Genomic DNA, 27,833 nt, shown 5'->3' with positions numbered 1-27,833 from the left:
GTCATGCTTCTGCTCTCAGGCAAAACTCGGAGAAGAGCTCAGGCTGATAAAGGAGGAAAGAAGAAACAAGGACAGGGAGGTGGGGACGGAGCAGGGGAAGCAAGAACAATCGCTGGCTTCCACATTTACTAACAAGGCCTTGGACTCCACCTCTCAATCATTCCAAAGACAATGTACACATAGAGAACCACTCAAGCTCATCACAACATCGATATGTCACAGCGTGCTGGCTCGTGTTTCTCTTCCTCCCCAGCTTCAAACCTTCACAACTCAAAATACCACTCAAACACAAATGTTATTTCATGATAAAATTTTACAGAATTGATAGAACTTTCCACTTCAAAAGATCCATAATTTTTCTATTTACCTTGAATATGAATTGCTTCTAATTATTCTGTTGATAAGCACACCACAAACTCCAGATTCATCGCCTTGTATCCTTCAAATACATTTCATCCAACTCTTCAAATGCATTCTAAGCCACAGGTTTCTCTTCTCTGAAGAAAAGAGCAGTTGTGGGAGACCCTGTTCCTATCACTGGCAGGCACTATGCGCCATAATTATACGTAACCAAGAGACAACAGACTGTCCTGATGTTGTCTTATGTGCAATATTATCTAAGAAGCCATTGTACTTTTCTTGTTTTGGCTTATTTGTCCAGTATCAGAAGATTTTCATAACACATTAATAAAGGTTACTGTCTGGTAAAGTAACATCTTGAAAGAGATCTTGGGGAATAAACACAGTAATAATAGCTATATGGACATATATCAATAGCTTTTGTTATCAACACATTTATTTAAAAAGTTACATAGCTAAACTCACAATTTACTAAATACATTCAGGATGAACACACAATTAATTCCAGTCTTCAATTATGCTTAGATTTTTTTGTTTAAAACACAGTAGGTATTTTTTGTCAAACATTAAGCTGTATGTGGTGTAGGCGGATGGGTGGGTAGGTATGTAGAGGGTTCTGTTTTGGGTTTGTATTTTCTTGGCTTATTCCTTAATTAATCTTTAGAGCTTATTATATAGTAGATGTCAATGTACTCAATACTCCTTGCCCCAGAGACTTTCTCCTGCAAATCTCCTAAGAGTCACAGGGGAACTGTTGCTGTTTGCTCATGGATGTGAGTGGGTCCAAGTGTGTGGTGTGGTTTGCTCACAAGTGTGAGTGCAAGCACGTGTTGTTTGCTCACAGGTGTGAGTCCAAGCATGTGGTGTTTGCTCATGGGTGTAAGTGCAAATGTATAGTGTTTGCTCACAGGTGTGAGTCCAAGCGTGTGGTGTTTGCTCATGGGTGTGAGTGCAAGCATGTGGTGTTTGCTCACAGGTGTGAGTCCAAGCGTGTGGTGTTTGCTCAGGGGTGTGAGTGCAAGCACATGGTGTTTGCTTCCAAGTGTGAGTGGAAGGGTGTGGTGTTATTGCTCACGGGTGTTAGTGCAAGTGTGTGGTGTGGTTTGTTCATGGGTGTGAGTGGGTGCAAGCGCATGTTGTTTGCTCCTGGGTGTGAGTGAGTGCAAGTGTGTGTGTGATATCCATGTGTATGTTTCACCTTCTTCATGCACTCTCTGTTTCAAATGACCTAATGTGCAGAATTAATAAAATACAAGGGCAGAAAATTAGGATAGATGAGATTTTATTTTTTGTTTAGTTTGGGGTATATATGTAGAATACATAAAGCCATGAGAAGGCATAGTGTCTACCCTAACCACAGAGAATGTCAGAGAGTGTAAAAGCACAAATTAACTTGAACCCACCAGAACTATGGCTTCAAGGCAACAAAGTGAACTACATTCCAGAGAGTAAAAAGTCCCTCTGAATGGAGACAGGATTGAAAGACTTCACGATTGGCAGAGCTCCAGAGTAGGAAATGCTGCCAAAAAACAAGCTGGGAGGAAGCCAGCAACATTTTAGAAACTTCAGCTGATAAGACACCTTTGAAAACCTAGAGCTTCATGAATGATTCAGAAAATCTCCCTCCCTCACCAGCAGCCTCGACAGGTCCAGCAAAGACTGAGGCAGGGAGGACACCCAAGGAAACCAGTGTCCAGCTCCTGCATGCAGGGGTCACTTATGCACTGATGCCCTAACGCTCACCCCAGGGTCAAACTGACAGGGCTGCCTGGAAAAGAGGCAGGATCAGGAAAACCAAGCAGTGCCTTACCACGGCCAGGTAACGGGTGCAGCTTCCTGTGGGGGAACACTCGTGGGGAGGCCCTGTCCTTCTGCCCCCAGGCTTGGGGTCCTGCTACACCATGTGGAGCATGAACATGGGGCAAAGCTCTCCAGCGCCATGGCTCATGAGCCCACAGAAGGAGCAGCCCACCTCGGAGGATGTGAGGCTTGTGGTCTCTGAAGGTGACTTCTAAGGGGATGACAACAACGAAGATCAACCACCCAGCTCAACTCAACACTCTCGGTAACATCCGGCCAAAGAAGAGGCCACCACTTCCTTCTTTCTTAGTTTTATAAGCTAAAAAAACCAAAAATAACCATAAATAAATAAATCCATTTTCAGGAAATGAAGCCATCACAGAGACAGGCCCAGGGATAACACTGGTCCTGAGATACCAGACAGAAATTTCAAAATGACTGAGATTTGGATGTTCAAGTGTGTAAGAGACGAGTTTAATGAAACACATGGACAGATGGAAAATCTGAGCAAAAAAAGCTGAAAACCTAGACATTTAAAAGACAAAACTAAATGAATGAAAGCAATACAGAGCATCAGCATGAATCCCTTCCATGGGGCTTGCTAGACAACTGGACACAGCGGAGGAAAGAATAAAGACACCTGAGGACAAATCAAAATAAGGTATAAAAACTGAAACACAACAAAAATGAAAAAGGAAGAACAGAAAGAACATATCAGAGCTGTGGGAAAATCAGAAACTCAGTAACAGGCAGTTACAGTTCTAGAAAGAGAGGAGAAAAAGAAAAAGGCAGAGGCATGTTCAAAGAGTTAATAATAAAGAGTTCCAAAATTAGTAAAAAACAACTATATCCAAGTAAAAAAAAATATATATATATACATGTATATACACACACACCCCCAAGAAGCCCAGAGAATCCCAAACAGGTTAATACGCCCGTCCCTCAATGGCAAAAACTCAACAAAACAAAACAAAACCTCAACCTTACACTCAACTCCAGAAAGCCAAAGGTAAAGAAAACTCCCTGAAAGTAGTTGAAACAAAAAACACTGAAAAAACTTTCAATCCAGAAATCCATACTCAGCAAAAATAACTTTCATAAAATGTAGGGAAATTTACCTAAATATGCCTTCAGAACAACAAAAGCTGAGAGAATTCACTGGCAACAGATCAGCATCACAAGAAATGCTAAAGGATGTTCTCCAGGAAGAACTGTGATGTCAGACAGAAATACGGATTAAATAAAGGGATAAAGGACAGTATATCAAAAAGAGGATTGTTTTTAATTTGCTATAAGAATTACTGATCATTGAAATCAAACAAAGAATGTACTAGAGTTTCCTAAAAACATGGAAGCAAAACATATGCTAACTAGAGCAAAATATGAGAGGTAAGAAATATATGTAAATGTTACAAGACACTAAAATGGTATACTGTCACATAGTAGTAGATACTTGTATTAGTCTGTTCTCAAATTGCTATAAATACCTGAGACTGAGTAATTTATAAAGAAAAGAGGTTTAATTGGCTCACAGTTCTGCAGGCTGTACAGGAAGCATAGTGGCTTCTGCTTCTGGGGAGGCCTCAGGGAGCTTCCAATCATGGTGGAAGACAAAGTGGGAGCAAGAGGTCATATATGGTGGGAGCAAGAGTAAAGGGGTGGGGTTGCTACACACTGTTACACAACCAGATCTCATGAGAACTCACTCACTATCAGGAGGACAGTACCAAGGGGATGGTGCCAAACCATCCATGAGAAATCCACACCCACGATCCAATCACTTCCCACCAGGCTCCACCTCCAATATTATGATGATGATCCGACATGAGATTTGGGTGGGGACACAGATCCAAACTGTATCAATAGTGTCAAGTGGAAGATGTATATTATAACACATCATCTGTAACTCCTGCTGTTTTTTCTGTTTGCTTGTTAGATGTGTAAAAAAAAGCAGGAGTTACTACTCTAATTTTGGACAAAACAGAATTTAAACCAACGACAATCAAAGAAGACAAAGAAGGACCTCATACAATGGTAAAGGGTTCACATCAAGGAGACTTAACTATGCTAAATGTGTATGGACTCAACACAGGAGCACCCAGATTCATAAAACACGTACTTAGAAACTTATGAGGAGACTAAGTACAGTAAGAGTGGGAGACTTTAACACCACACTGGTAGTATTAGAAAGAGCATGAAGGCCAAAAACTAGAGAGACATTTGGGACCAGAACTTAGTATTTGACCAAATAAACCTAATAGATATCTACAGAGCTCTATACCCCCAAACAACAGAATATACATTATTCTCATCTGCACATATTAGAAACTCTAAAATCAACCACACAATAGACCATAAAACAATTCTCAGCAAATTAAAAAAGAATATCAACCACATTCTTTGACCACAATAAAAATAGAAATCAATAACAAGAAAATCACTCAAAACTATACATGGAAATTAAACAACCTGCTCCTGAATGTCTTCTAAGTAAACAAAGAAAGTAAGGCAGAAATAAAAAATTATTTGAAACTAATGAGAACAAAGATACAACATACCAGAATCTCTGGAACACACCTAAAGCAGTATTAAGACAAAAGTTTATAGTGCTGAACACCCATATCAAAAAGTTAAAAAAGACCTCCAATTAACAACCTAACATCATATCTTAAGGAATGAGAAAAAAAAAAAGGAGGAAACTGACCCCAAAGCTAGCAGAAGAAAAGAAACAAAATTAGAGTTGAACTGAATGCAATGGAAACACACATGAAAAAACATACAAAAGATTAGCAAAACCACAAATTTGCTCTTTAAAAAAATAAATAAGATGGATATACTGCTAGCCAGACTAATTTAAAAAAAGAGAAAAGATCTAAATAAAAACAATCAGAAATGACAAAAAAGACATTACCACTGACCCCACAGAAATACAAAAAAAGAGACTATTATGAACACCTCTATGAACACAAACTAAAAAACCTAAAAGAAATGAATAAATTCCTAGAAACATACAACTTTCCAAGGGAGAACCAGTAAGAAATTCAAATGCTGAACAGACCAGTAACATAACAAGTTCCAAAATTAAATCAGTGATAAAAAAACAAACAAACAATAAAAGCCTATCAACCAGAAAATCCCCAGGACCAGACAAATTCACAAACAAATTCACAGACAAGTCAAGAAAAGCTGGTATCATTCCTAATGAAACTATTCCAAAACATTGCAGAAGAAGGATTCCTCCATAACTCATTCTAGGAAGCCAGCATCATTCCAATACCAACAGACATAACCAAAAAAAGGAAACTTCAGGCCAATCTCCTTGATGAACATAGATGCAAAAGTCCTCAAACAATCCCACCAACAGTGTAAAAGTGTTCCTATTTCTCCACATCCTCTCCAGCACCTGTTGTTTCCTGACTTTTTAATGATTGCCATTCTAACTGGTGTGAGATGATATCTCACTGTGGTTTTGATTTGCATTTCTCTGATGGCCAGTGATGGTGAGCATTTTTTCATGTGTTTTTTGGCTGCATAAATGTCTTCTTTTGAGAAGTGTCTGTTCATGGCGATTCCTCAGGGATCTAGAACTAGAAATACCATTTGACCCAGCCATCCCATTACTGGGTATATACCCAAAGGACTATAAATCATGCTGCTATAAAGACACATGCACACGTATGTTTATTGTGGCATTATTCACAATAGCAAAGACTTGGAACCAACCCAAATGTCCAACAATGATAGACTGGATTAAGAAAATGTGGCACATATACACCATGGAATACTATGCAGCCATAAAAAATGATGAGTTCATGTCCTTTGTAGGGACATGGATGAAATTGGAAATCATCATTCTCAGTAAACTATCGCAAGAACAAAAAACCAAACACCGCGTATTCTCACTCATAGGTGGGAATTGAACAATGAGAACACATGGACACAGGAAGGGGAACATCATACTCTGGGGACTGTTGTGGGGTGGGGGGAGGGGGGAGGGATAGCATTGGGAGATATACCTAATGCTAGATGATGAGTTAGTGGGTGCAGCGCACCAGCATGGCACATGTATACATATGTAACTAACCTGCACATTGTGCACATGTACCCTACAACTTAAATAATTAAAAAAAATCCTCAAATATTAACAAACTGAATCCAGCAGCATATCAAAAAGCTTATCCACACAATTAGGTAGGCTTTATCCCTGGGATGCAAGGTTGGTTCAACATACAAAACAAATAAATGTAATTCATCACATAAATGTAACTAAAAACCAAAACCACATGATCATCTCAATAGATGCAGAAAAGGCTTTTGATAAAATTCAACATCCCTTCATATTAAAAGCCCTCCGCAAACTAGGCAATGAAGGTATATTCCTCAAAATAGTAAGAGCTGTCTATGACAAACCCACAGTCAACATCATACTGAATGGACAAAAGCTGGAAGTTCCCCTGGAGAACCAGAAGCAGACAGGGATGCCCACTCTCACCACTCCTATTCAACACAGTATTGGAAATTCCTAGCCAGAGCAATTAGGCAAGAGACAGAATTAAAAGGCATACAAATAGGAAGAGTGAAAGTTGAATTATCTCTGTTTGCAGACAATATGATTCTACACCTAGAAAACCTTACAGTCTCTGCCCAAAAGCTCCTAGATCTGATAAACAACTTCAGCAAAGTTTCAGGATATAAAATGAATATACAAAACTCAGTAGCATTTCTAAACACCAATAACTTCCAAAGCAAGTGCCAAATCAAGAAGCAATCCTGTTCACCATAATCACACACAAAAATAAAATATCTAGAAGCACAGCTAAGCAGGGAGGTGAAATATCTCTATAATAAGAATTAGATAACACTGTTGAAAGAAATCAGAGATGACACAAACAAACAGAAAAACATTCCATGCTCATGGATAAGAAGAATCAATAGTGTTAAAATGTACTGTCCAAAGTAATTTACAGATTCAATGCTATTTCTTTCAAACAACCAAGGACATTCTTCACAGAATTAGAAAAAAAACTATTATAAAATTCATATGGCACAAAAAAAGAGCTTGAATAGCCAAAGCAATCCTCAGCAAAAGGAACAAAGCTGGAGGCACAACATTACCCAACTTCAAACTATACTACAAAGCTACAGTGGCCAAAACAGCATGGTACAGGTACAAAAACAAACACAGGCCAATGGAACCGAGTAGCAAGCCCAGAAATAAAGCCACACACCTGAAATCATCTAATCTTTGACAAAGGCAACATAAACCATCAGTGTGGGAAGGACCCTCCAATTCAATAAATGGAGCTGGTGATAACTGACTTGCCATATGGAGAAGATTGAAACTGGACCCCTCCTTTCACCATATACTAAAATCAACTCGAAATGCATTAAAGACTTAGATGTAAAACCTAAAACTATAAAAACTCTAGAAGGAAAACCGAGACACTCTGGACATAGGGAGTGGCAAAGACTTCGTAACAAAGACTCCAAAAGCAATTGGAACAAAACCAAACATTGACAAATAGGACCTAATTAAACTAAAGAGTTTCTGCATAGCAAAATAAACTTATCAATAGAGTAAAAAGACAACCTACAGGATGAAAGGAAATATTTGAAAACTATGTATCTAGCAAAGATCTAATACCACAATCCATAAGTAACTTCAACAGATCAATAAGCAAAAAAGAAATAATCCCATTAAAAAATGGTTAAAGGACATGAACAGACACTTCCAAAAAGAAGACATAAGAACTTATGGGAAGGGATTAAAGCACCACTCTATAGGTAATACATGGTGGTAAACACTGGCAATAAAAGGCAAGAAATACCCCAGATCAGAAACATAAGACTCCACCTTAAGAATCAGGAAAAACACAACCAAAATAAGTCCAAAAGCAAGCACTGAGAAAATAATAAGCACAAAAATCAATGAACTTCAAAAAGGCCAAAATAAAAAATAAATGAGATTTAAAATGTATCCTTTGAAAAGAACACTAAAAATTGATAATTAACTGGGAGACTGATTTATTTTTAAAAAACAGACAGAAAAGACCTAAATTAAGAGTATTACAAATGGAAAAGGGGCATCACCACAGAACCTATAGACTTTAAACACATAAGAAATATTGCAAACAACTTTTTATCAAAGGATTTCATTACTTAGGACAAAGTTCCTGAAAGACAGACACTATCAAAATTCATTCAAGAATGAATAATGTGAATAAGCCCTTATCATAGAAGCTGAATTTATAGTTAAAAAAAAACGCTTGAAATAAAATTCCAGGCTCAAATGCATTCTGCATGAATTTTATGCAAGAAATAATACAAATACTAAAGGAAATCTGTGGAACTATAAAAAGACACTTTTTTTTTTTTAATTTTGAGACAGAGTCTCGCTCTGTTGCCCAAGCTGGATTGCAGTGGCACAATCTCGGCTCACAGCAACCTCCGTCTCCTGGGTTCAAGCAATTCTCCTGCCTCTCCTGAGTAACTGCGATTACAGGTGCCTGCCACTATGCCTGGCTAATTTTTGTATTTTTAGTAGAGATGGGGTTTCACCATGTTGGCCAGGCTGGTCTCAATCTCCTGACCTCAGGTGATCTGTCTGCCTTGGCCTCCCAACGTGCTGGGATTACAAGCGTGAGCCACCGTGCCTGGCACAAAAAGACACTTTCTAATTCGTATGGACAGGCCAGGATTACACCAATGCCCTGACGCCAAAACAGGCAAAGGCACAACATGAAGAGAAACAAACCAACATCCAACGTGAATGTAGAAGCAAATGCCCACTGACAAAATACAGCAAATTGAATCTAGTAATACATAAAAAGATGATACATTGTGACCAAAGGGGATTTATCTCTAGAATGTAAGGTTATTTCAAATTACAGAATCAATGTGTAACTTACCATAAAAACAGACTAAAAATAAAACACTATTACCACAATAGATAAGAAACACATTTCACCATATTCAACATCCACTCCTGATAAAAATCTCATTAAACTAAGAGAAGGGAACTTCATCAACCAAAAAAAAGCATCTCTAAAGTACATACGGTGACATTTTACTTAATGATGAACACTGAATGTTTTTCCTTTAAGATAGGGAATAAGGCAAGGTGTCCACTCTCCCCATTTCTACTAAATAGCATATTTGTGGTTTTACCCGTTACAATAGGTCAATAGAAAAAAAAGAAAAAGAGTACCAGTTGCTAAAAGAGAAATAAAAGAAACACACACAGAGTCTGCACTCCTGTCCCTGGTCTGCCTGAACAGGGCGCATATTTTCTCATATATATTTTTGACTAGTGACAATTCTTTCTGCTTTAAGGTAAATTTATATTCTTTGTACATTTTTCTTTTGGACTTTTAAAGTTTCTCATTTCAGAAGCTTTTTAAAATTAAAAATATAGCCATTAAACTATTATTTGTTTTTTTGTTTGTTTGTTTGTTTGTTTGAGACAGAGTCTTGCTCTGTCGCCCAGGCTGGAGGGCAGTGGCGCGATCTCGGCTCACTGCAACCCCCACCTCCCAGGTTCAAGCAATTCTCCTGCCTCAGCCTCCTGAGTAGCTGAGATTACAGGCGCCCGCCACCATGCCCAGCTAATTTTTTTGTATTTTTAGTAGAGACGGGGTTTCACCATGTTGGTCAGGCTGGTCTCGAACCCCTGACCTCATAATCCACCCACCTCAGCCTCCCAAAGTGCTGGGATTATAGGCGTGAGCCACCGCGCCCGGCCAAACTATTATTTGTTTTTGAAATACTTTTCTATTTCATTGTTTTGCATTCATTTTATAACTTATTTATATTTTGTTTTGTCCTACATGATTTTGAAAAATTTCCTTATAGTCAGAAGTATTTTTCTCTTATGAATTATGCATTATAAAAGCCTTTACAAATCTCAAAAATCTTACAGATAAAGATGAAAGGAACATATTCCTTAAAGAATTCTCACCATCAGAGTTCAAATGAACACAATGAGAAATTATCCAAAACACAAGAAAATAAGCATTTTCTCTCAAGGTTAAAAAAAGACAAAAGTAACAAATTGCAGAATCAGGCAAAGATTGCAGATATTTAAATTTTTAAGTAAAAAAAAATGTAAAATAAGTACTCTTAATAGATATAAATACCCAGAAGAAGTTATTGTAAGTGCAACAACAAACATTTTAAAAATATCAAAACTAACCAGTTTTGATGACCCAGAAGTAACTGAAGACCCCACACAGAATGTGGCACAGAGAAGGGAGGTGGGACAAGGTGGGTTCTGGTCCAGGCCCCACAAGAGCAAATGCCAGGGCAGGACTCGCTGTGAAGCAGGTTCCGCGGGGGACCCTGGGCATGCATGGAGGCGAGAGAAGCAGCAAGGCCATGGTAGGGATGGGTCCGACACACAGGACCGAAGAAGCAGGGACTGAGTGGGAGCAGCTGGGAGGAGCCGGGAGCAGCCGGGAGGAGCTGGGCCCAGCCCGCCCTAAGGGTCTCTGTGGGTCCAGGGTCAGCCCAGGCCAAGGCGGCCCTTGACTCCTGCCCAGGTGCCAGCCTGGCTCACCATGGAGGGTGGAGAGCCATGTGCAGGGAGCAGGTTACCTGTCAGCCACCCCCATACAGGTCCTTCTGGAGAAGACTGTAGGGGGCCCAGCTGCATGGACAACACAGATGGAGTAAAAGACAGAAGGAAACCCCCCACCCCATCCAGTGGAATTCCAGGGGAGAGCACACACTGGGCAGCTGACACCCCCGCCAGCAGCAGCAGCCCCCGAGCCGAGGGCAGCCCAAAGGACGAGGAGGACCAGGGGCAACGGAGGAGGAGGGGGCCACAGAGGAGGAGGGGACCACAGAAGAGGACCAGGGGGTCAAGGAGGAGGACCGAGAGGCCAGGAGGAGGGGACCCTGAAGAAGACCAGAGGATCAAGGAGGAGGACCAAGTCAAGGAGGAGGAGGCAACCAACAGGAACAGGGAGACCAAGGAGGCCAAGGGATCAAGGAGGAGAAACAAGGGTCCAAGGAGGAGGACTGGGGACCAGGAGGAGGATTGGGGACCAGGAGGAGGACTGGGGACCAGGAGGAGGATTGGGGTCCAAGGAGGAGGACTGGGGACCAGGAGGAGGATTGGGGTCCAAGGAGGAGGACTGGGGACCAGGAGGAGGATTGGGGTCCAAGGAGGAGGACTGGGGACCAGGAGGAGGATTGGGGACCAGGAGGAGGACTGGGGACCAGGAGGAGGATTGGGGTCCAAGGAGGAGGACTGGGGACCAGGAGGAGGATTGGGGTCCAAGGAGGAGGACTGGGGTCCAAGGAGGAGAACTGGAGTCCAGAGGAGGACTGGGGGACTAAGGAGGATTCAGGGCCAAGGATGAAGATTGGGGGTGCAGGAAAAGGACAGGGGACCAAGGAGGAAAAGCAAAGGTGGCCAAGGAGGTGGACTGAGGGGCCAAGGAGCAGGACCAGAACCAGGGCACAGGAGCCCCAGGGCCAACAGGACAGAGGGGGCTGCCACCCATTCTCCCCGTCTTCCAAGTTCCTTGGTGGAGAAACCCCACCCAAGAGGAGCTCTTCTCAGAACCTACCCCAAGCATGGAACCGAGTGTCACACGCAGTGGACGGCAAGGCTGCTCAGATTCTTCCTGGCACAGGGCGGGACCCGCTGTGGCAGAGTGCCCAGGGCTCAGCCTCTCAGGAACAGCCTCACCCCAGAGCTCCCCGTGTCTCGAGGACCCTGCACTTCCAAGGACCCAGTGTCTCTTCCCCACAGGGGAGGCTTTCAAAGGCTTGTCCTGTCTTCAGAACTCCTTGTAGGATCAACCAAGGCCTCATCCCTCAGGGCCCCTTGTCCAGCCCTTCCTCCTCCCATCCTTCTCATGGGGTGATGCTGGGAACCTCCCTAACACATTTCCTGCAAACACATCTGCATCCTACAGTCAGCAATATGGATGAGAAGGATTTGTTTGGGACTGCTCTCCTGGAAGTAAAATGTTAAATATTGACTCTTTTCCTGCAAAAATCCTAAAGGCACCTGAAGCAAATCAGTAACCCTGGCACGAAGGGGCGGAGGCAGGCGGAGACACCATGGGACAGGAAGGGCTCCCTCATGTCCTTAGAACACAGTATACAAGTCAATGAAAGATGCTTCCAACAAACTTTCCACACAACTATAAGAAGACTCCTTCTTAATAAGGAATTTATTTTAGAAAATTGCTCTCTTTCTAAAAAGTTAGGCATGTGTGAGTTCTTTGGCTACCTTGGAGCTTCATTACAAGATCCAGAGGTAGTGCTGACGCCTGGATTTCACAAGCAACACTGGTGTTCAATATCACCAAGAAGACAGATCTGATTACAAAGCTCGCCAACAGGGAGAGCAGCACACACTGTGACTGCGTGGATCGCTGAGCCTTGAGACTAGAGACAGGAAAACGCAGGCAGCTGAAACTGTTAAAAATGAGAGACACGGTCACTTTGGAACAAAGTGAAGAAACAAAAAGAAGAAACAAAAAGAAGAAAATGAAGACAGATTTATAACAACATGCAATTGGATTATCTTAACTGTTAGCTTCATTTTCACATGACACCCTCCAAAGGATTTATACTTAGTACCGAGTGGAGATGTGTCCTGTAAACTGTTAAGATTCTAGAGTTAGTTTGAAATTGAAATATTTTAATTTAGTATTAATATCTTCAGCCAATTTTTACTGGGCACCTAGTATGGGCCAGGCACTATTCAAGCCAGTCAAAAACTGTGGAAAAGAAAAATGAAAGGCCCAAATTTTAGTGAAGTTAAAAACTGGCATATTAAATATACTTTTATCTTTAAAGGTGTAAATATTAGGAGTTGGTCCCAAGGCACATGTTATTTCAATAAGAACATTATTAATTATTTTGGGTACACGTATACCAAACATAGGTGATAACCCTGGTCACCTCATTTACATATAAGTGTGTAAAGCGTGGAAACTGACTTGCTCGCCTTCCTAATACTTTTCCCAGAAGAACTAATGTTTAGAAAACTGTATATCATATAAATATGATAAAGTTAAATAAAGAGTTAACTTTTTTGAGCATGCTGCCTTTCTTATCTGTTTGAAGCACATTTTTTCTGTCTACTTTAATGCAATTTTGAATTTTTTGGGTCATTCCATTTCAATTTTTACGTAGCATATTTTCATTTTCAAAAGTACCTATTTTGTGATGCTTTTGGAAAAATAGGCTTTAAATTCATTATGTTAATGATGTTAATGTTAATCACTTTCAAATAATGAAGTTTTTTTTTTAAAAAAAGCTCAAATCATAGTCTGATGATTAATGAAGAATAAATTAAGAAAAACTGCAGTTAGTTTTTGAATAGTATGACACAAAGCAGGCACTCAAACCAGCTTTAGACTACAGGAGTGGTATGAGAAATCATGTTACCACGCCAAAAATCATCAGTATTCACCTTTTCTGGTTTGAAATATTTGCAGTACCTCCAAATTCCCCGCTAGTAGAGGCACCTGTGAATGTGGGGCTTAGCACGCTCATTCTCTAATTTAAGGGATGACACTTATCTTCTGTTTTAATGAACTGTTTTTTTGTTTTGTTTTCAATTTATGTGCCTCTCCTCAATCAAATTAGAAGCCAGGACAGGGCTCACCATATCTCCTTTACACAGGTATCTGTAATTTTCTTGGTTTTATGTGGCTTCATTACTTAACATCATGAGGTTGAATAAAACATATTCGATTTATTATTTTTCTATTTATTTCAAAGATGAAGTGAAAACTCAGCATAACCTACTTATTCAAAGACAGGCATAATCAAGAAATATGTTGATTCTATTTGTACCATGGATAAATTCCTTACTTCATCTAATTATTTTTCTGCATTGCAGAGGCTCATATGGTTTCAAATGCAGCTACTCCAGCAACTGGATACAGCGAAGGACACAAATGAAGAAGCTGAGAGTGATGTGGTTAAAGAAAAGGTGCAAGGCAGATCCAGATCCAGAACCGTCACCACAAAACTCATGCTTTCTTGTATGGTACGAAACTTATCTTGGGGCTGGGCATGGTGGCTCACACCTACAATCTCAGCACTTTGGGAGGCCGAGGCAGGAGGGTCGCTTAAGACCAGGAGTTCAAGATCAGCCTGGGCAACATAATGGGACCCCATCGGTATAAAAGTTAAAAAGTTAGCCGGGATAGTGGCATGTGCCTGTGGTTCCAGCTACTCGGGAGGCTGGGGCAGGGGCATTGCTTGAGCTGAGGTGTTTGGGGAGTTCAAGGCTGCAGTAAGCTATGATCATGCCACTGCACTCCAGCCAAAAAACTAAAACTAAAATAAGAAATGTATCTTAGGTTACCAGTATTTCCACATTTCACTGAAGAACCAATGAAGTCTAGATTGAATGGTACAACTCCATCTTTCTCAACTGAAATTGTGAAATGTGATTTTTCCATCTGCTCATCTGGGAAGAAGTACTGCTGTTCTAAAAAGTAAATTTTCCTCAGCAGCTTCACATGAAGTGTGCACACCAGTGTGTTTTCTATAAACCCAGCCTGGCTAAAAGCCTCAGCAGCTTCACATGAAGTGTGCATACCAGTGTGTTTTCTATAAACCCAGCCTAGCTAAAAGCACTTCCTTTCTCTGAGCAAGATCCACTGCCATGATCAGTTCAGCACGGAGACAAACAGGCTGTCACTATCTTAGACCCATTCACTGGGAATGTACCCACATTTCAGAATAGCGGAAAAACTGAACTCAAAATGACATAAGAGATCCCAGGAAACAAAACAACAGACACAACATAAGCCTACAAATTAAGAAAAAGAATAAAATGCTCCATTAAAAGATATTGCAGAAAACCCAATAATTGAGAAATTCAATGGCTAATCCTACCATTCTGAGTAAGAAAATTAAAATGTAACATTTCCTGGGCACACCGTGGTGTGTTAACTCCCAGCAGCTGTACTAATGCAGATGCTACGTTATAGAAAAGTTCACAGACATGGTTCATCTCCACGGGCACAGTGGCTCACTCCTGTAATCCTAGCACTTTGGGAGCCTGGCCAACATTGTGAAACCCCATCTCTACTAAAAATATATTAAAAAGCCAGAAATCGCTTGAATCCCAGAGGCAGAGGTTGCAGTGAGCCAAGATCGTGCCACTGCACTCCAGCCTGGGTAACAGAGCAAGACACCGTCTCAAAAATAAAAAAATAAAATAAAATCTAACAGTAGTTTCAAACCAAAAGCCTCCCAGGGGTGATAACATATAAAACAAAATAAAGTTGGTTTTATTTACCATGACAATTTCTCATTTACTAGAAACTCTGGCAATATCAGTAAGATAAAGATTTATATCAACAGAAAATGGTGATAAAATCAGAAATCATAAATTATTGTGATCAGCACTATCTACAGTAGCTGGCAGCATTCATGGGAGCTGCCCGTCCAGGCGGGGAGTGACAGGAACAGACAAACCAGGGGCTGTGCCCTGGAGTGGCAGGGAGCAGGAGGGCAGGTGAGGAGTCCCAAGACCATGAGCAGGCAGTAGGAGCACCCCCTTCAGAACCAACAGCCATGCCCGGGAACCCTCAGAGCTCACCGTGCTCCCATGAACAGGCATTAGGAGCACCCCCTTCAGAACCTACAGCCGTGCGTGGGAACCCTCAGAGCTCACCGTGCTCCCATGAGCAGGCAGTAGGAGCACCCCCTTCAGAACCTAGGAACCCTCAGAGCTCACCATGCTCCCATGAGCAGGCAGTAGGAGCACCCCCTTCAGAACCTACAGCCATGCCCGGGAACCCTCAGAGCTCACCGTGCTCCCATGAGCAGGCAGTAGGAGCACCCCCTTCAGAACCTATAGCCGTGCCCCGGAACCCTCAGAGCTCACCGTGCTCCCAGCTCCTCCACGAGGGCAGAGTCCTCTGTCTGCATCCAGCTGAACCCTGAGTTCCAGGGCTCACCTGGGAGACAACAGGAATCCAATCTCACCGATGAGAAAATAAGGCACACATGACCCTACCCTGAAAAGCATCGTGCACTGAAGCATTCCCAACAAAGGAGAGAACAAAGGAGAACAGGCAGCCCGAGCTCTCGGGAGAACTGTGGGGCCCAGAAGCCCAGCATTCCCCACTGTGGGATCCTACCAGGGAACAGGCCTGGCTATCAGCTGGGATTCCTAAGCAACACTGTCACCCTAGTCACAGACGCCTGAGCCAGTGCAGCAAGGACAGGTGCTGCTTTCCAGACAGAAGGGCAAAGGACCGTGTCATTAACAGAGCCCCCTCCTACGGGAACACCTGCCCGAAGCCTCTCCACTGATACAGAAGAACCTTAAGCAGGGGGATGATGGTAATTGATGGATATTTCTTAGCAAACTATGAAAATTATCATTTTATAATGAGAATTCTAAAAAGCAGGATAGAAAATTCTATCTTGAGGATGAGTTTAACTTACAGAATATACACCAGAAAAAGCCAGAAGGAAATCTATGAGCTGCTAGATAGGTATAGACCAGGTCACAGGAACTTTCCTTCCTTGTATTTTTCCATCTCATATTCACTTTCAGTACTGAGATACGGATACCATGCCACTATTCATACAAACATCAAAGGAATAAAGGAAATGTATTTACTCCAAAGAAGGGGATAGGAAGATTCAAATCACATCCCCAAAGGTTCCCTCCATCTGCACAGCGGCACCCGAGATGCAGCCTCCAGCCCCGGGTCACAAAGGCAAGGCCTGCACGATGCAATTCTGTGACACTGGTCTGCTCCGTTCACCTTCTCCATTCAGCCCAAGGCCAGTAAAGCAAAGGCCGCCCTGAGACTTTGCACAGCCCACTGCGGGAACACCACACCCCCAGGCAGCCCCCTGCACCAGGCGACCCTAGCACAGCTGAACCCTGGACCTCCCCCCGACTCCAGGCCTCCCTGACTCCCTTCCTCCTGCCAACATGGAAATTACAAATCTAAAAGCATTCTGATTCCACCCTGATTAAAACCAAAAGAATCTGTAGGTCACGACAAAATTTGATAAAGCTTTGGAAGAAAATAATTGCAATACATAAAGCTCATAGCATTTTCATAGATCTGTGCTGGTCCTCTCCTCAATTCAATAAGGAAGAGTTGCATAAAAGAATATTTACATCCCAGCGCTTACAAAGCACGTAATTCACATATGCAGCTGTTTCCTAGTGGGTTTGTATCTTGTTCTGATAGGAAAGCTTTCAGTTTACTTCCTTTTTTCAGCTACTAGATTTTCCTCTTTATTCGATTACTAAATTTACAATATTATTCAACATAGAAATGAATTTTTTAAATATAATTAAACCTTATATAAGTGTTATACATTACAAAATATATTACAATTTGTTCTATTTCATTTTGTTGCTACAAAGAACAAATGTATTTTATATACAGAGAAAAAGTGGTCTTATCTGTGTGTGAGTCCTTATCCTTTATTACCTTTTGTTATTAGCAGTTTCAGAGTTTGGTTCTAATTTCTTAACTCTTACCCAAGCATCATTGTTTTAGATATCGTACTATCCCAAAATTTTGACTGTCATAAGGCATGTTTGATACTATAACTCCTAACATCAAAATATTAAACTATGTAAGAAATAGTACATTTTACTGTACTACATCTAGAAAGCTAAAATAGAAAATAATTTGGAAGTCCACACAATTTTTTTCATATCTCTCTGGATTTCAAATGAACCACTTTAAAAAAAAAGACCATTTATTTAGATTATAATGTATTTTGGTTACAAATTCATGTTCTCAATACCTTTCAAATTCTTAACCCCAATTTAGATAATGGTGACTTTAGAGGTTTTCTTTTTTTTCCTTTTTAAAGCAATTACAGTGTAGGTAATTGACAAAGCTTCTGCTAGTTCAGCTTCAATAAAATGTCATATCTTTGCAGAGTCTTTTTATGAAAAATCCATCTTGAAGCACCAAATCTGGAGAATATCACATAGTACTCTGCATGATCTCAACATCATTTCACTGCTATGTGTGTGGGGAGGGGCTGCATGAGCTGTTGCCATCTACTCGACTTATGAACCTGTTCCCATTTTGTATGACAACCTCAGTTATAAGAAAACAGTTGTATATTCCTCCTGATTCTGATTTCCTAATTCCTGTTGTTATCCTTTTGTCTCACAAGCAATAACCACTTAAAGGAAACGCATTTGGGGCCATTTCTCAGCCTTTGCACGTGGGATAGAGACATCTCTCTCACAGTCAGACGCCCAGGGGCTGCAGCCACCATGCGGACCACACCTCACCTGCCGTCTCTACAGTCTTATGTGTAGGTGGGGAGCATCAGCAGTACCCCAGGGGTGTTAAAGGAACGAAGCCCTCCAAAGAGCTCTTAGTACCTAGTAGATGTTAGCAATTAGGTAAGTTCTAACCTGGGGGTTCTGGGCTCAAATTCCCTACATTTCTAAGAAGATATTCCCTAAAAGCTATATTACTTACCTAAAAAGACTGATTAGCTTCCCACGGCTGCTATGACAACACTTCCTCAAACTTAGTGGCTTAAAACAATGCACATTTATCTTCTCACAGTTCTGGAAGCCAGAAGTCCAGGATCAAATTCCTCCAGAGGCTCCAGGGAGCCTCCTTCCTGCCTCCTCTAGCTCTGGTGGCTGCAGGTGCCCCTGGCCTGTGACTGCATCTCTCCCGTCTCAGTCTCAGTCTCAGTCTCAGTACCAGTCTCGCCTTCCATGTGCCGGAAGACAAATGTTGCCCGACCTCATCTATAGAAGAGGGAACACATTGTAGCTGCCCTGTGCTGTTTCGTGTCTGCTTGTCTAGAATTTGCCTCTCAGGTAGTCAGGGCCCCACTGGCCTGGTCTGAGAGGTGTTCTACTCTATTTTTATCTTTAGCTTCCAGCTCAGTGTGTGGCAATTAATAGGTACTCAATCATTCTTCTCTAAATTCTGTGTGTCTGTGTCTGCACGTACGTAAGGTGCATCATGATAAAGCAATTCTCCAAATGGCACTTAATCATCGCCAAACCCCCAACTTTCAAAAGGAGGCCTGAGACCCAGAGCTACTTCCCACCACCGTTCCCCATCCGTTGCTCCCCCTCAAGCAGGGAGGTGGTAAAATTTCTAGTGTTTCTGAGGAGGTAATACAAAGGCTGGACTTTCTCTATCTACCTTGCTGCAGACCATGATCGTTTTAGGAATAAAACCAGACTTGGATTTCTTTCAAGACCATATGACCTATGCTAACTATGACCAAGTTGGCACACGTTTCTAAAAACACTGCATCTAACTCATCGGGTTCTGGATGTCCCCAGGTTTAGGTATAAGAAGTAATTTCATATTTCTCAGTACATAAAGAAAACTTAATCATGTAAAAAGGCAAACTGACAGAGCCATTTGGTAAAATATAATTATCTGCAGAGAAGTCATGAAGGATAATCTTGAGCAGGATACAGCTGAGAAATAGAATTATATTTACCATTAAACTTATGCTGATGTGAAAAATTAAAATCAAAACATAGCTATTCTAAAAATATGAAAGCACAATTTTACTTAAATCCAAATAAACTGGGCATAAATACAAAATAAATTATCAGTTCAAAAACCAGAAACGGAACTTTCTCTCTAGTTCATAGAAACACATACATCTAATTCAGATATATACTTATTGGCTCAACTGACACATGGGTCAGCTACCACGCAGCAGGGCAGAACCGAGTTCCCCGGGCTGTGTCCTTCTGAAAGCGGCCCCTCCACGGGCTCACAGCAGCAGGGGACCCAGGTGCCACTTCCCTCCTAGACGCCCGACCGAGATGGGCCCATTCACAGCCACGGGTGGGCCGGGGCCCTGGGGGAGCGGGTCCTCCGCAGGAAGGGGCATGGGTTGCGGGGGCAGGTGCTGCGCCTGGTGAGATGCAGCCTCCAGGAGAGGCAGCTGAGCAAAGGCCCTGGGCCAGGGCAGGCAGCGCTCCACGTGCCCAACCAAGGTGTGTGAAGGCCCGAGGGAGGAAGGATGCAGCCACGGGGTGAGTGGTTATGCTCCAGCCTGGGAAGGGCAGAACACAACCCTGCTCCGGACTGAGCTGCAGAGAGGAGTTTTGGAAAGGTCCGCGCAGAATGCCCAGCAGGGGCAGGCGCAGGGGGAGGTGCAGGGGCAGGGCAGGGGGAGGCGCAGGGGCGGGGCGGGGCAGGGGTGGGGCAGGGGCGGGGCAGGGGCAGGGGCAGTGGCAGGGCAGGGGTAGGTGCAGGGCAGGGGTAGGTGCAGGGCAGGGGCAGGGGCGGGGCGCGGTGGGTGCAGGGCATGGGCAGGGGCAGGGCAGGGGTAGGGGCAGGTGCGGAGCATTTGGCACAAGTCAGGGTCAGGGGTAGGGGCAGGGGCAGGGGCAGGGGCAGGGGCCAGCACAGTCACAAGGGCAGTGGGTGGGGCCAGGGCAGATGCAGATGCAGATGCAGGGGCAGGGGCAGGGGCAGGGAAGGCTCTGAGGCAGGGCCGGAGACAGTGGCAGATGTGGGCCCCTTGGCCTCCCTGGCACCAGCTTCTAAAAGGAGGGTAGCTGGGACCCCAGACTACGGGAGGCCTCCCTGTTCGGAGTGAGAGGACTTGCTAGAGGACTTGCTGCCAAATCCAAAATAAGTGATGATTTTGTTCAGAACAACTGGCAGCTGTATCCCACTTCAAAAATGCAGATTATTTTCTAAACACCCGCTCAACGAACAGAAACATTCTTCCATGGAATCTGAGTGCGTCCCCATGGCTGTGCCCTTACCTATAATAATTTATGAACTACACAATAAAACATCTGCAACTATAAGCATTGTTTACAGAAGTGGAATTTAATTCTTGCACAGGATTTGTCATTTAAACTATTTTGATGAAGGTAGGAGTAATTACAGTGATTTCCTGGTCAGTCCATACTTAGAGACCACTGCCACTGGCTGAGTACAAGAAGAAAGTTTGTCTTCTGGAGCTGGGGTCCAAATAAAAACAAGAGGAAAAGTAAATTTATAAAATGGAGGCCAATAAGCACGATATTTAGGACACTTGATTCTAATGTTCTATGTGATTGTTTTTATAATAACACGATTCGGTGCCATCATCAAATGATGTTCACCCAAATGTCGAGTGAATGTTGGTAACTCCCAGAGTTGATACTCAGAATCTTGACAGTGGAGGGTCACCTTTTTCATTAACACTAATGCGGATTATTGCAAAATAACAGGCCATGCACTGATCTAGGTTTCAAGTCCAGAGAAGTGAATGACATGCAGTTTCTTTACAAAGTATAACAGATAAAACAGAATTAAAACTTAGCAGTTTAGCAGTTAGCAGACTGTGAAGTTTAATAGTTTTTGCACTAAAAATATAACTTTACATTTTACAAATGTTTAGAACAGTATCCCCTAAATAAGAAGCATACTCACTTTCTTAAATCCAAAGTCTTTGCTAAATTAAAATGTAGCTAGTTTATAATCATATTTATAGGATGTAAAAATGTAGACTCCTTAAAAAGCAAACTATTTTAACATGTAATTCTAATTGCAAAATCACATCCTCATATTCACAGCATTGTTAACAGTATTTATTAAAATGTGCAAGGGGAGAAAACAGGAAGGTTCAGGCTGATGGGGTGAAGAAGCAGCACGGTCCCTGGAAGGCAGCCAGAAATGGGTGAGCTTTTGGAGGGCCTTCTTGTTCAGAGGGGCAGGGGATGAAGAGCCACAGGCTGGGGTCAGTCCTCAGGTGAGGGATTACACCCACATAGGGGAGCTTAGCATTTAATACAGAAATAGGAAGGATAACCTCGGCTTCCTGAATTTTACAGGGAACTTTAGTATGGACTGGGGGAAAGTGACATCTAGTGTTAGCTGAAAATAATCCAAAGTCGACTATTCAAAACTACAGTCATGACAACATGCGGTAACCAGCTGGACAACAATGACAAGTACACACCAGTTCAAGGTCCATTTTCCATTAAATCCTGAGTGCATTTTTCCTCCAAAAGCATGTTTTCCACCTTCCTTGTTGTGTCTCACTCAACAAAAATACCTCTAGAACTAATTAAAGAGTGAGTTTCTGAGGGATTTGGAATCAGATACAAAGTGACCTTCGGAACCCAAGCACACATTCCACAGGTGAGAAGCCAGAGCCAGAGAGGATGGTGGTTCCCGAAGCCGGGGTTCTCTGAGTTCCCTGGAACCCTGATCTCCCTCCTTCCTTCTCCATTTCCACGAGCACCTGCCTGTGTCCGCCCCATGCCCAGCAGCGCAGGAGCTAGGGGTGCGCAGCAGAGCCTGAGAGCAGCTCCTCTTTGGGGTCCCTCGTGTGCCTGCTGTCACATGCTACATGAGCTAACAGGAAAGCCAGAAAATCACACTGCTTAGTAAGTCTATCCTGAATATACCCATTTAGTAAATAGGAGGCCTGCGATGCAAACACACCCTCTGTCACCGAGAACTGCAATGCCAGCCCCTCTGCCAACTCACTCAGAGCCTCATGGGGTATCTTGAGAAGCAGATCTAAATTAAAACTGAAGCTTAAATGCCTTGTCTACAGTCATCATCCATAAAGATATCCAGAGACAAGAAGCTGTTGCTCCACATACACCATTCAGAAAACAAGGCAATTTTAACATCCCATGTTGGAAAAAAACAAAAACAAAAACAAGGCACACTTTTCTTAATTGGACCTCATTCAAATATTTACTGGGGAACATGTCTCCATGTCTCCTGGTAAAGTCAGGTAACTGCCTGCTTTGTAATGCATGGATTTTGCTTATGATGTCATAGACGTCAATAGAAATTCTACAGTTGAAATTAAAGATGAGTCAGCAAGGATGAGAAACATAACCAAAGCATAGAAGGAATGGGGAACCTTCTTAGGAGCTCAGATGCTTCATTCATCTCATGCAGCAATTCACATCTGTAAACAGATGATTAGGTGGTGCCCTTACCCCACATGCACCTTTAAAATGACCTAACGTGCTTTCCCCCTTCAGTGGGCAAGCTCATCACATAAATGGGCATGTTCCCGGCTCATGCCAATAATTCTTCCAGCGCCCCAGACTGAAGAAGTGTTGTCATTTAAAAGCAGCAAATGTGCTGTAAACATCAACCAATAGTAGTCTTTGAAGCTACAAGCAAGACACACTTCGCACATTGTACTGAGGTTGTCTGCCAGTGGGATTTTACCCCTCAAATCCAGGTATGGTCAGAGACAGAGCTCCATGAACTCACTTAACTTAGAAAAAAACATCGGGAACAGGCACTTGAAAGGGGAAACAAAACAGGTCTGTTACCGAACAGGAGACCTTCAAACGTGGCCAAATTCCATGATTCAAACAAGCAGTCATGATAAAGAATGTGTATAGTTTTGACTTCAGATAGAAAAAATATAACTAGAAATATAAGATTTAGAAAAGACTTTCATCTTTTTCTAGTTAAAAGCACCAAGTTCTCTTAACTGAAATGATTAAATAATTACACAAGTTGAATAATATTGTGCAGTTATGGTAAGAAAATAATTCTGCCATTAAGTAAGGATGACATTGTATACTAAGAACATTCATGTTTTCAAGACAAACCTGCCAACACCAATACTTAACAGATTCGTTTTAAATACATAAGAATCTGAGCTAACATGACCATGCACTGGTGTCTAAGGTAGGCTTAGCACATACCTAATTACTTATGACTGCAAAGTTAGGAGTCTTGCTCTTAAAATGCTCCATCTTATTGTAATACTTGGCCTCCAACGCTAAAAAAAAAGTTTCTTTCAATACAATTCAGACAGGCTGTTTCAAATAATCAAGGTCCTTATTAGAAAGAAAGCGCCAATCACATCTTGTAGCAAACAGGTGAGCAGAGGCCACTCTTGACTGGAAAACATCAAATTTAGCACCTTAATTAATACTGAGCGCAAAGGAGAGCATTTACTAGAATACGCGCAGTTGCTTTATTTGTTGACGTTATTGCCAATAACTCATCAAGTGGGTCAATCATGAAGTATGATGAATCCACTTCAACGCTTCCGCTATAATTACAATGATTAAAAGCAAGAATTGCTTTGCTCGAATGTCTGGAGAAAAATGCACAATCCCTAACCGTGGGAGGGCATCATTATAAAGCTGAAGGCAGTGACCAGACGGAAAGCCTGTGATTCCACAGCGCCTGCAGTTTTTACTGCGGTTTATTTCCAGGTAATCCCCGCATATTTTCTCGGGTTTGATTACCATGGGCAACAGTGGGATAGCTATTCATATTACAAAGTACTTCAAGAAACGAACACCCACATTTTACATGAAATTTAATTTTCATATTTTGTAGTAAAAGCCCAGAAAGGTGCTACTTGAATGAAGATGCACCTGTCTCTACATAGAAATCTTTTTAACATCACAGTAGCGACGACCACAGTCCTAGTTTAGAATCATTATTATGACGATAGGAATTTGTAGCAGCCCTCAACCCGTGGCCTTCTGAACCGTCTCTCCACTGTCCTATAAGGGAGGGCTAACTGTATTCCTGGTCGCTCCTGGGACTGGGAGCTCCTGGGGAAGGAATCCTAAAGGAGTGGTTGTCAATGCATTTTCATTAACAGCCGCGCTTCTCGGCAGCCTCCTAGGGCTGGGGTGGCCACGTGCTCCCTTAAACTGTTTTCACAACTCGAGGCTGTGCTGTGGGTGGCAACTTGAAGGTTTCCAAGAACTTTTCGTTTTTCTTTGGGCCAACATTTCTGTTTTCTGTCAATCAATAGTTTAGTTATTTAAAAATAAGAAGGTGAAGAGGGAGTTATTTAGGGTGGGAACCAGAATAGACTTCAAAAAAGAAATCCGTATTACCCAGTTGGCGTCCCAGCGGTTCCCCGAATGGCCTAGAGCCCCCAGCACCTGCCGAGGCCGCGCCATGCACCTGGCTGGGCTCAAACTGGCCAACTCAGACCTGGCCTGGGCGCCCGAAGGCTGCAGGGGGGACGCTCCGGTCCGAGCCACCGCCTGGGCCCGAAAGAGCCGCTCCTGGGAAGCAATGCCGGGCCAATCTCAAATCCCAAATTCTGGAAAGCACTACTTCCCACGCAGTAAAGGGAAGCCCGGGCGCCTCAAAACCAAACCTTGGAAGACGCTGGAGGAGCAAAGCCTGCAAGTTTCCAGTAAGACACTGGGCTGGAGGGAGCAGAGCGGCCAGGGGGCGGGTGCCCACTGCGTCCCGGGGCTCCGGCGCCCACCCTCCGGCCAGCCGTCCCCGGAGACAGGGAAGGGGTCGCGGGGAGCGAGGGGGCGTGGAGGGAGGAGGGGCGGGGGGAGAAGGGCGCGAAGGAGAGGGAAGGGGGGCCGGAGGTGAAGGGGCGCTGAGGGGCCGCACTCACCCGCGCAGGTACCAGCAGGCAGCCCTGGCGTCCGCGGGAGGCGGCCGGGGGCGGGGGTCCCTCGGTGCCCATCGCCGCCCCTGCGGCTGGGTCCGCGCTCCGGGCCGGCCGAGCTCAACGCCAGGACCCCGTCCGAGCCTCCCAGGGCCCCGCCAGGCGCCGCGTCCGCGCCCGCGCCCCTCTGCCGGCTCCGGCTCGGGCTCCACCGGGGCGCAGGGCTGGGGAACCGGAGCTCCGCCCGCCGACCCGGAGCACCGCCCACGCAGACCCGCCCCGGGCGAGGGAGGGGCCGGGCGCGCACCCGCGGGGAGGGCGGCGAGCGGGGATCAGCCGAAGTCGGGAGAGGGGCGCTTCCACGGGGCGGGAAACTGGCGCGCGACTCTGGGGGAAGTGCAGGATGGGGGGACAGGGGCGCTCCCGCGGGGGTGGATGGGGGACCATAGCGGGGCTGGCGGGGCAGGGGCCGGCGCACGAGGCTGGAGGAGGGGAGCGCGCGCTTCTACCCGGGCTGGGTCGCCGAGGTCCGCGGCGCATCGTGGCGGCGGTGGGCGGAGGGGGGCGGGGGGCACCTCTTCTCCCTTGTGGCGCAGGTGGGCGCGCTCTGGACCGGCTTGACGACCCCTCCCCGCCGCCCCACCTCCCTGGCCAAAGGTTCTCAGCTTCTAATCAGGGACATTTCTAGTCCACAGCCTCGAAGCCATGGGTTCTCCCCGGCCCTCTGAAGCCGCCACACCTGTGCCAGCCGGCCGCGTCCTCAGACCTTTCCCCGCGGAGTCTTCCCAGCACTTGGAGACGCAGCGCAGGGCCCCGAGGACGGCCTGGCCCGGAGAAAAGATACCGAAGCTCCAACTTTCCCCAACCCCGCTCCCCTCCTCCTTCCACCCTCCCTTCCCGCCCCCAAAGCTCGGGGGTCCTATCCCTCCTCCGGTCCGCGGAGTCTCCCGAACCCTGCGGGGACCCGGCGCTCGGCGGTGCCCTCCTGGGGCGCACGGGGCTGGGGCGGGAGCGAGGAGACCAGGTGGGGAGGGGACCCCAGATCTCAGACGCCAGGGGAGACGGCGTTTCCCGCTGTTCATTCAGGTTTGTGCCAAAAGGAGCCTCACAGATGCAGTATTGGGTTTGGTAGACTCAAATCGTCTTGTTTTAATGTAAATGAAAGTAAGTTTAGGATAAATTCCAGTGCGGCGGGGGCAGGCAAGGCTACCCACATTTTTTAAAAAGAAGCCAGCCCGTATTTTTCTCCCTTTCCAAATCCTCCGCCCCCCAGTCCTTCGACCCAGGCACGAGCGCCCATCGCGGAGGCCACGATGCCCGTTTTATTCCCTCTCCACGGCAAGGAAAAGCAGCGAAATCTGAGGTCTTCAGAGGTTAACCCTATCTAGGAGCAGAATGTGACGCATTGTAAACAAATAAATATTGAAAACTCGATGTTAAACACTTTACTTTTTCTGACTCCGACTTGCTTGACCCCTGAGCAGACCTGGGTTTCGAACACAGACGCCCTTCCCCATTTCTCTATTCTCTGTATTCCTGTTTCACCTTCACGGCAGTCTGCCAGCACTTCTTAGCACTCAGTTTAACCAGAGGACAAGCTCTTGAATAGCAAAAACCAGGTCTTTTTATACGTGGCACAGTGGCTGTTACAAAATATGCTTCTTGGGTGAATTGGTAAAAAATATTGTATTACTTTTTATTTGTAGCAAAACCTAGAATAAGAAAAAGTACAAGAGATTATTGTTTGCCTTTAAATTGCATTTTTAAAAGAGCGTGCATATAATCTCTGAGAAATTAAATGTCTACAAATAGCACAAAGATATTGTCTCATTACCTTGCAAAGGGACATTCTATTCCAGGGCCTGAAGAAGGAAAAACAGCGTGTTGCATGCATAAATGTTGACTTTGAGAGACAAGTTTTTGTTAAAATTTTATCGTTAAATGAATAGACACATATATTTTTGTTTTTCAGACCAAAGGTAATTGTTAATTCATTTGTAAAATAATGTAGTTTTGGCTAACAATCTCTGGAATCCTTTCTATAATAAAATTTTGTGATTCCAGGACGTCGTAGGCGCTCTGGGGCTGCTTTTGAAAGGCTAATTAATTCAAGTTTTAACTGCCTATCTGCTTTTATGCATCTGTGTCAGGACTGCACGTAAGGGTTATTTTGCTTATTTTAAATACTAGGGTTCTACTGCAATAACAATAACAATAAAAAGTAAAACCCTGACTATCCTGAAACTCTGCGAGGGAATGTCCCCCATGAGGTTACCAAAATTCAACTTTCTGGTTTTTGTGATGAGTATAGCTTTGATTCTGAGATGTGTCTAAAACCAGTT

The 27,833-nt window shown here is 43.9% G+C and overlaps 1 protein-coding gene and 1 long non-coding RNA gene across 3 annotated transcripts in view, besides 3 other annotated features; one reads left to right on the top strand and one right to left on the bottom strand.

Annotated features, from left to right (window-relative positions):
- SNTG2 (syntrophin gamma 2) overlaps positions 1-25,717 on the bottom strand; it is a 416,765-nt gene extending 391,048 nt beyond the window's left edge. For both annotated transcript variants that reach the window (NM_018968.4, XM_047444795.1), the window contains exon 1: positions 25,498-25,717. In NM_018968.4, coding sequence (NP_061841.2) covers positions 25,498-25,569 — 72 coding nt within the window. In that variant the 5' untranslated portion in view covers positions 25,570-25,717. The remainder of the gene's footprint in view (positions 1-25,497) is intronic.
- Positions 16,430-16,947: an enhancer, noted in NCBI's record as "H3K27ac-H3K4me1 hESC enhancer chr2:955305-955822 (GRCh37/hg19 assembly coordinates)". NCBI's record gives its function as "activates a minimal SCP1, AML or CMV promoter by ChIP-STARR-seq in primed H9 embryonic stem cells {active_cell/tissue: H9 hESC(primed)}" and the evidence as "EXISTENCE:reporter gene assay evidence [ECO:0000049][PMID:30033119]".
- Positions 16,948-17,467: an enhancer, noted in NCBI's record as "H3K4me1 hESC enhancer chr2:954785-955304 (GRCh37/hg19 assembly coordinates)". NCBI's record gives its function as "activates a minimal SCP1, AML or CMV promoter by ChIP-STARR-seq in primed H9 embryonic stem cells {active_cell/tissue: H9 hESC(primed)}" and the evidence as "EXISTENCE:reporter gene assay evidence [ECO:0000049][PMID:30033119]".
- SNTG2-AS1 (SNTG2 antisense RNA 1) lies at positions 25,174-26,932 on the top strand. Its single transcript, NR_136151.1, has 3 exons — positions 25,174-25,281; positions 26,180-26,655; positions 26,765-26,932. It is a non-coding gene; the product is annotated as an SNTG2 antisense RNA 1 (long non-coding RNA).
- Positions 25,679-25,808: a silencer, noted in NCBI's record as "silent region_11102". NCBI's record gives its function as "represses an Ori minimal core promoter by ATAC-STARR-seq in GM12878 lymphoblastoid cells {active_cell/tissue: GM12878}" and the evidence as "EXISTENCE:reporter gene assay evidence [ECO:0000049][PMID:35858748]".

Source organism: Homo sapiens, chromosome 2, assembly GCF_000001405.40.
Source record: "Homo sapiens chromosome 2, GRCh38.p14 Primary Assembly".
In the NCBI taxonomy this organism is placed as follows: Eukaryota; Metazoa; Chordata; class Mammalia; order Primates; family Hominidae; genus Homo; species Homo sapiens.
Note: the sequence above shows the minus strand (reverse complement) of the source record. Positions and strands in the feature narration are given on the sequence as shown.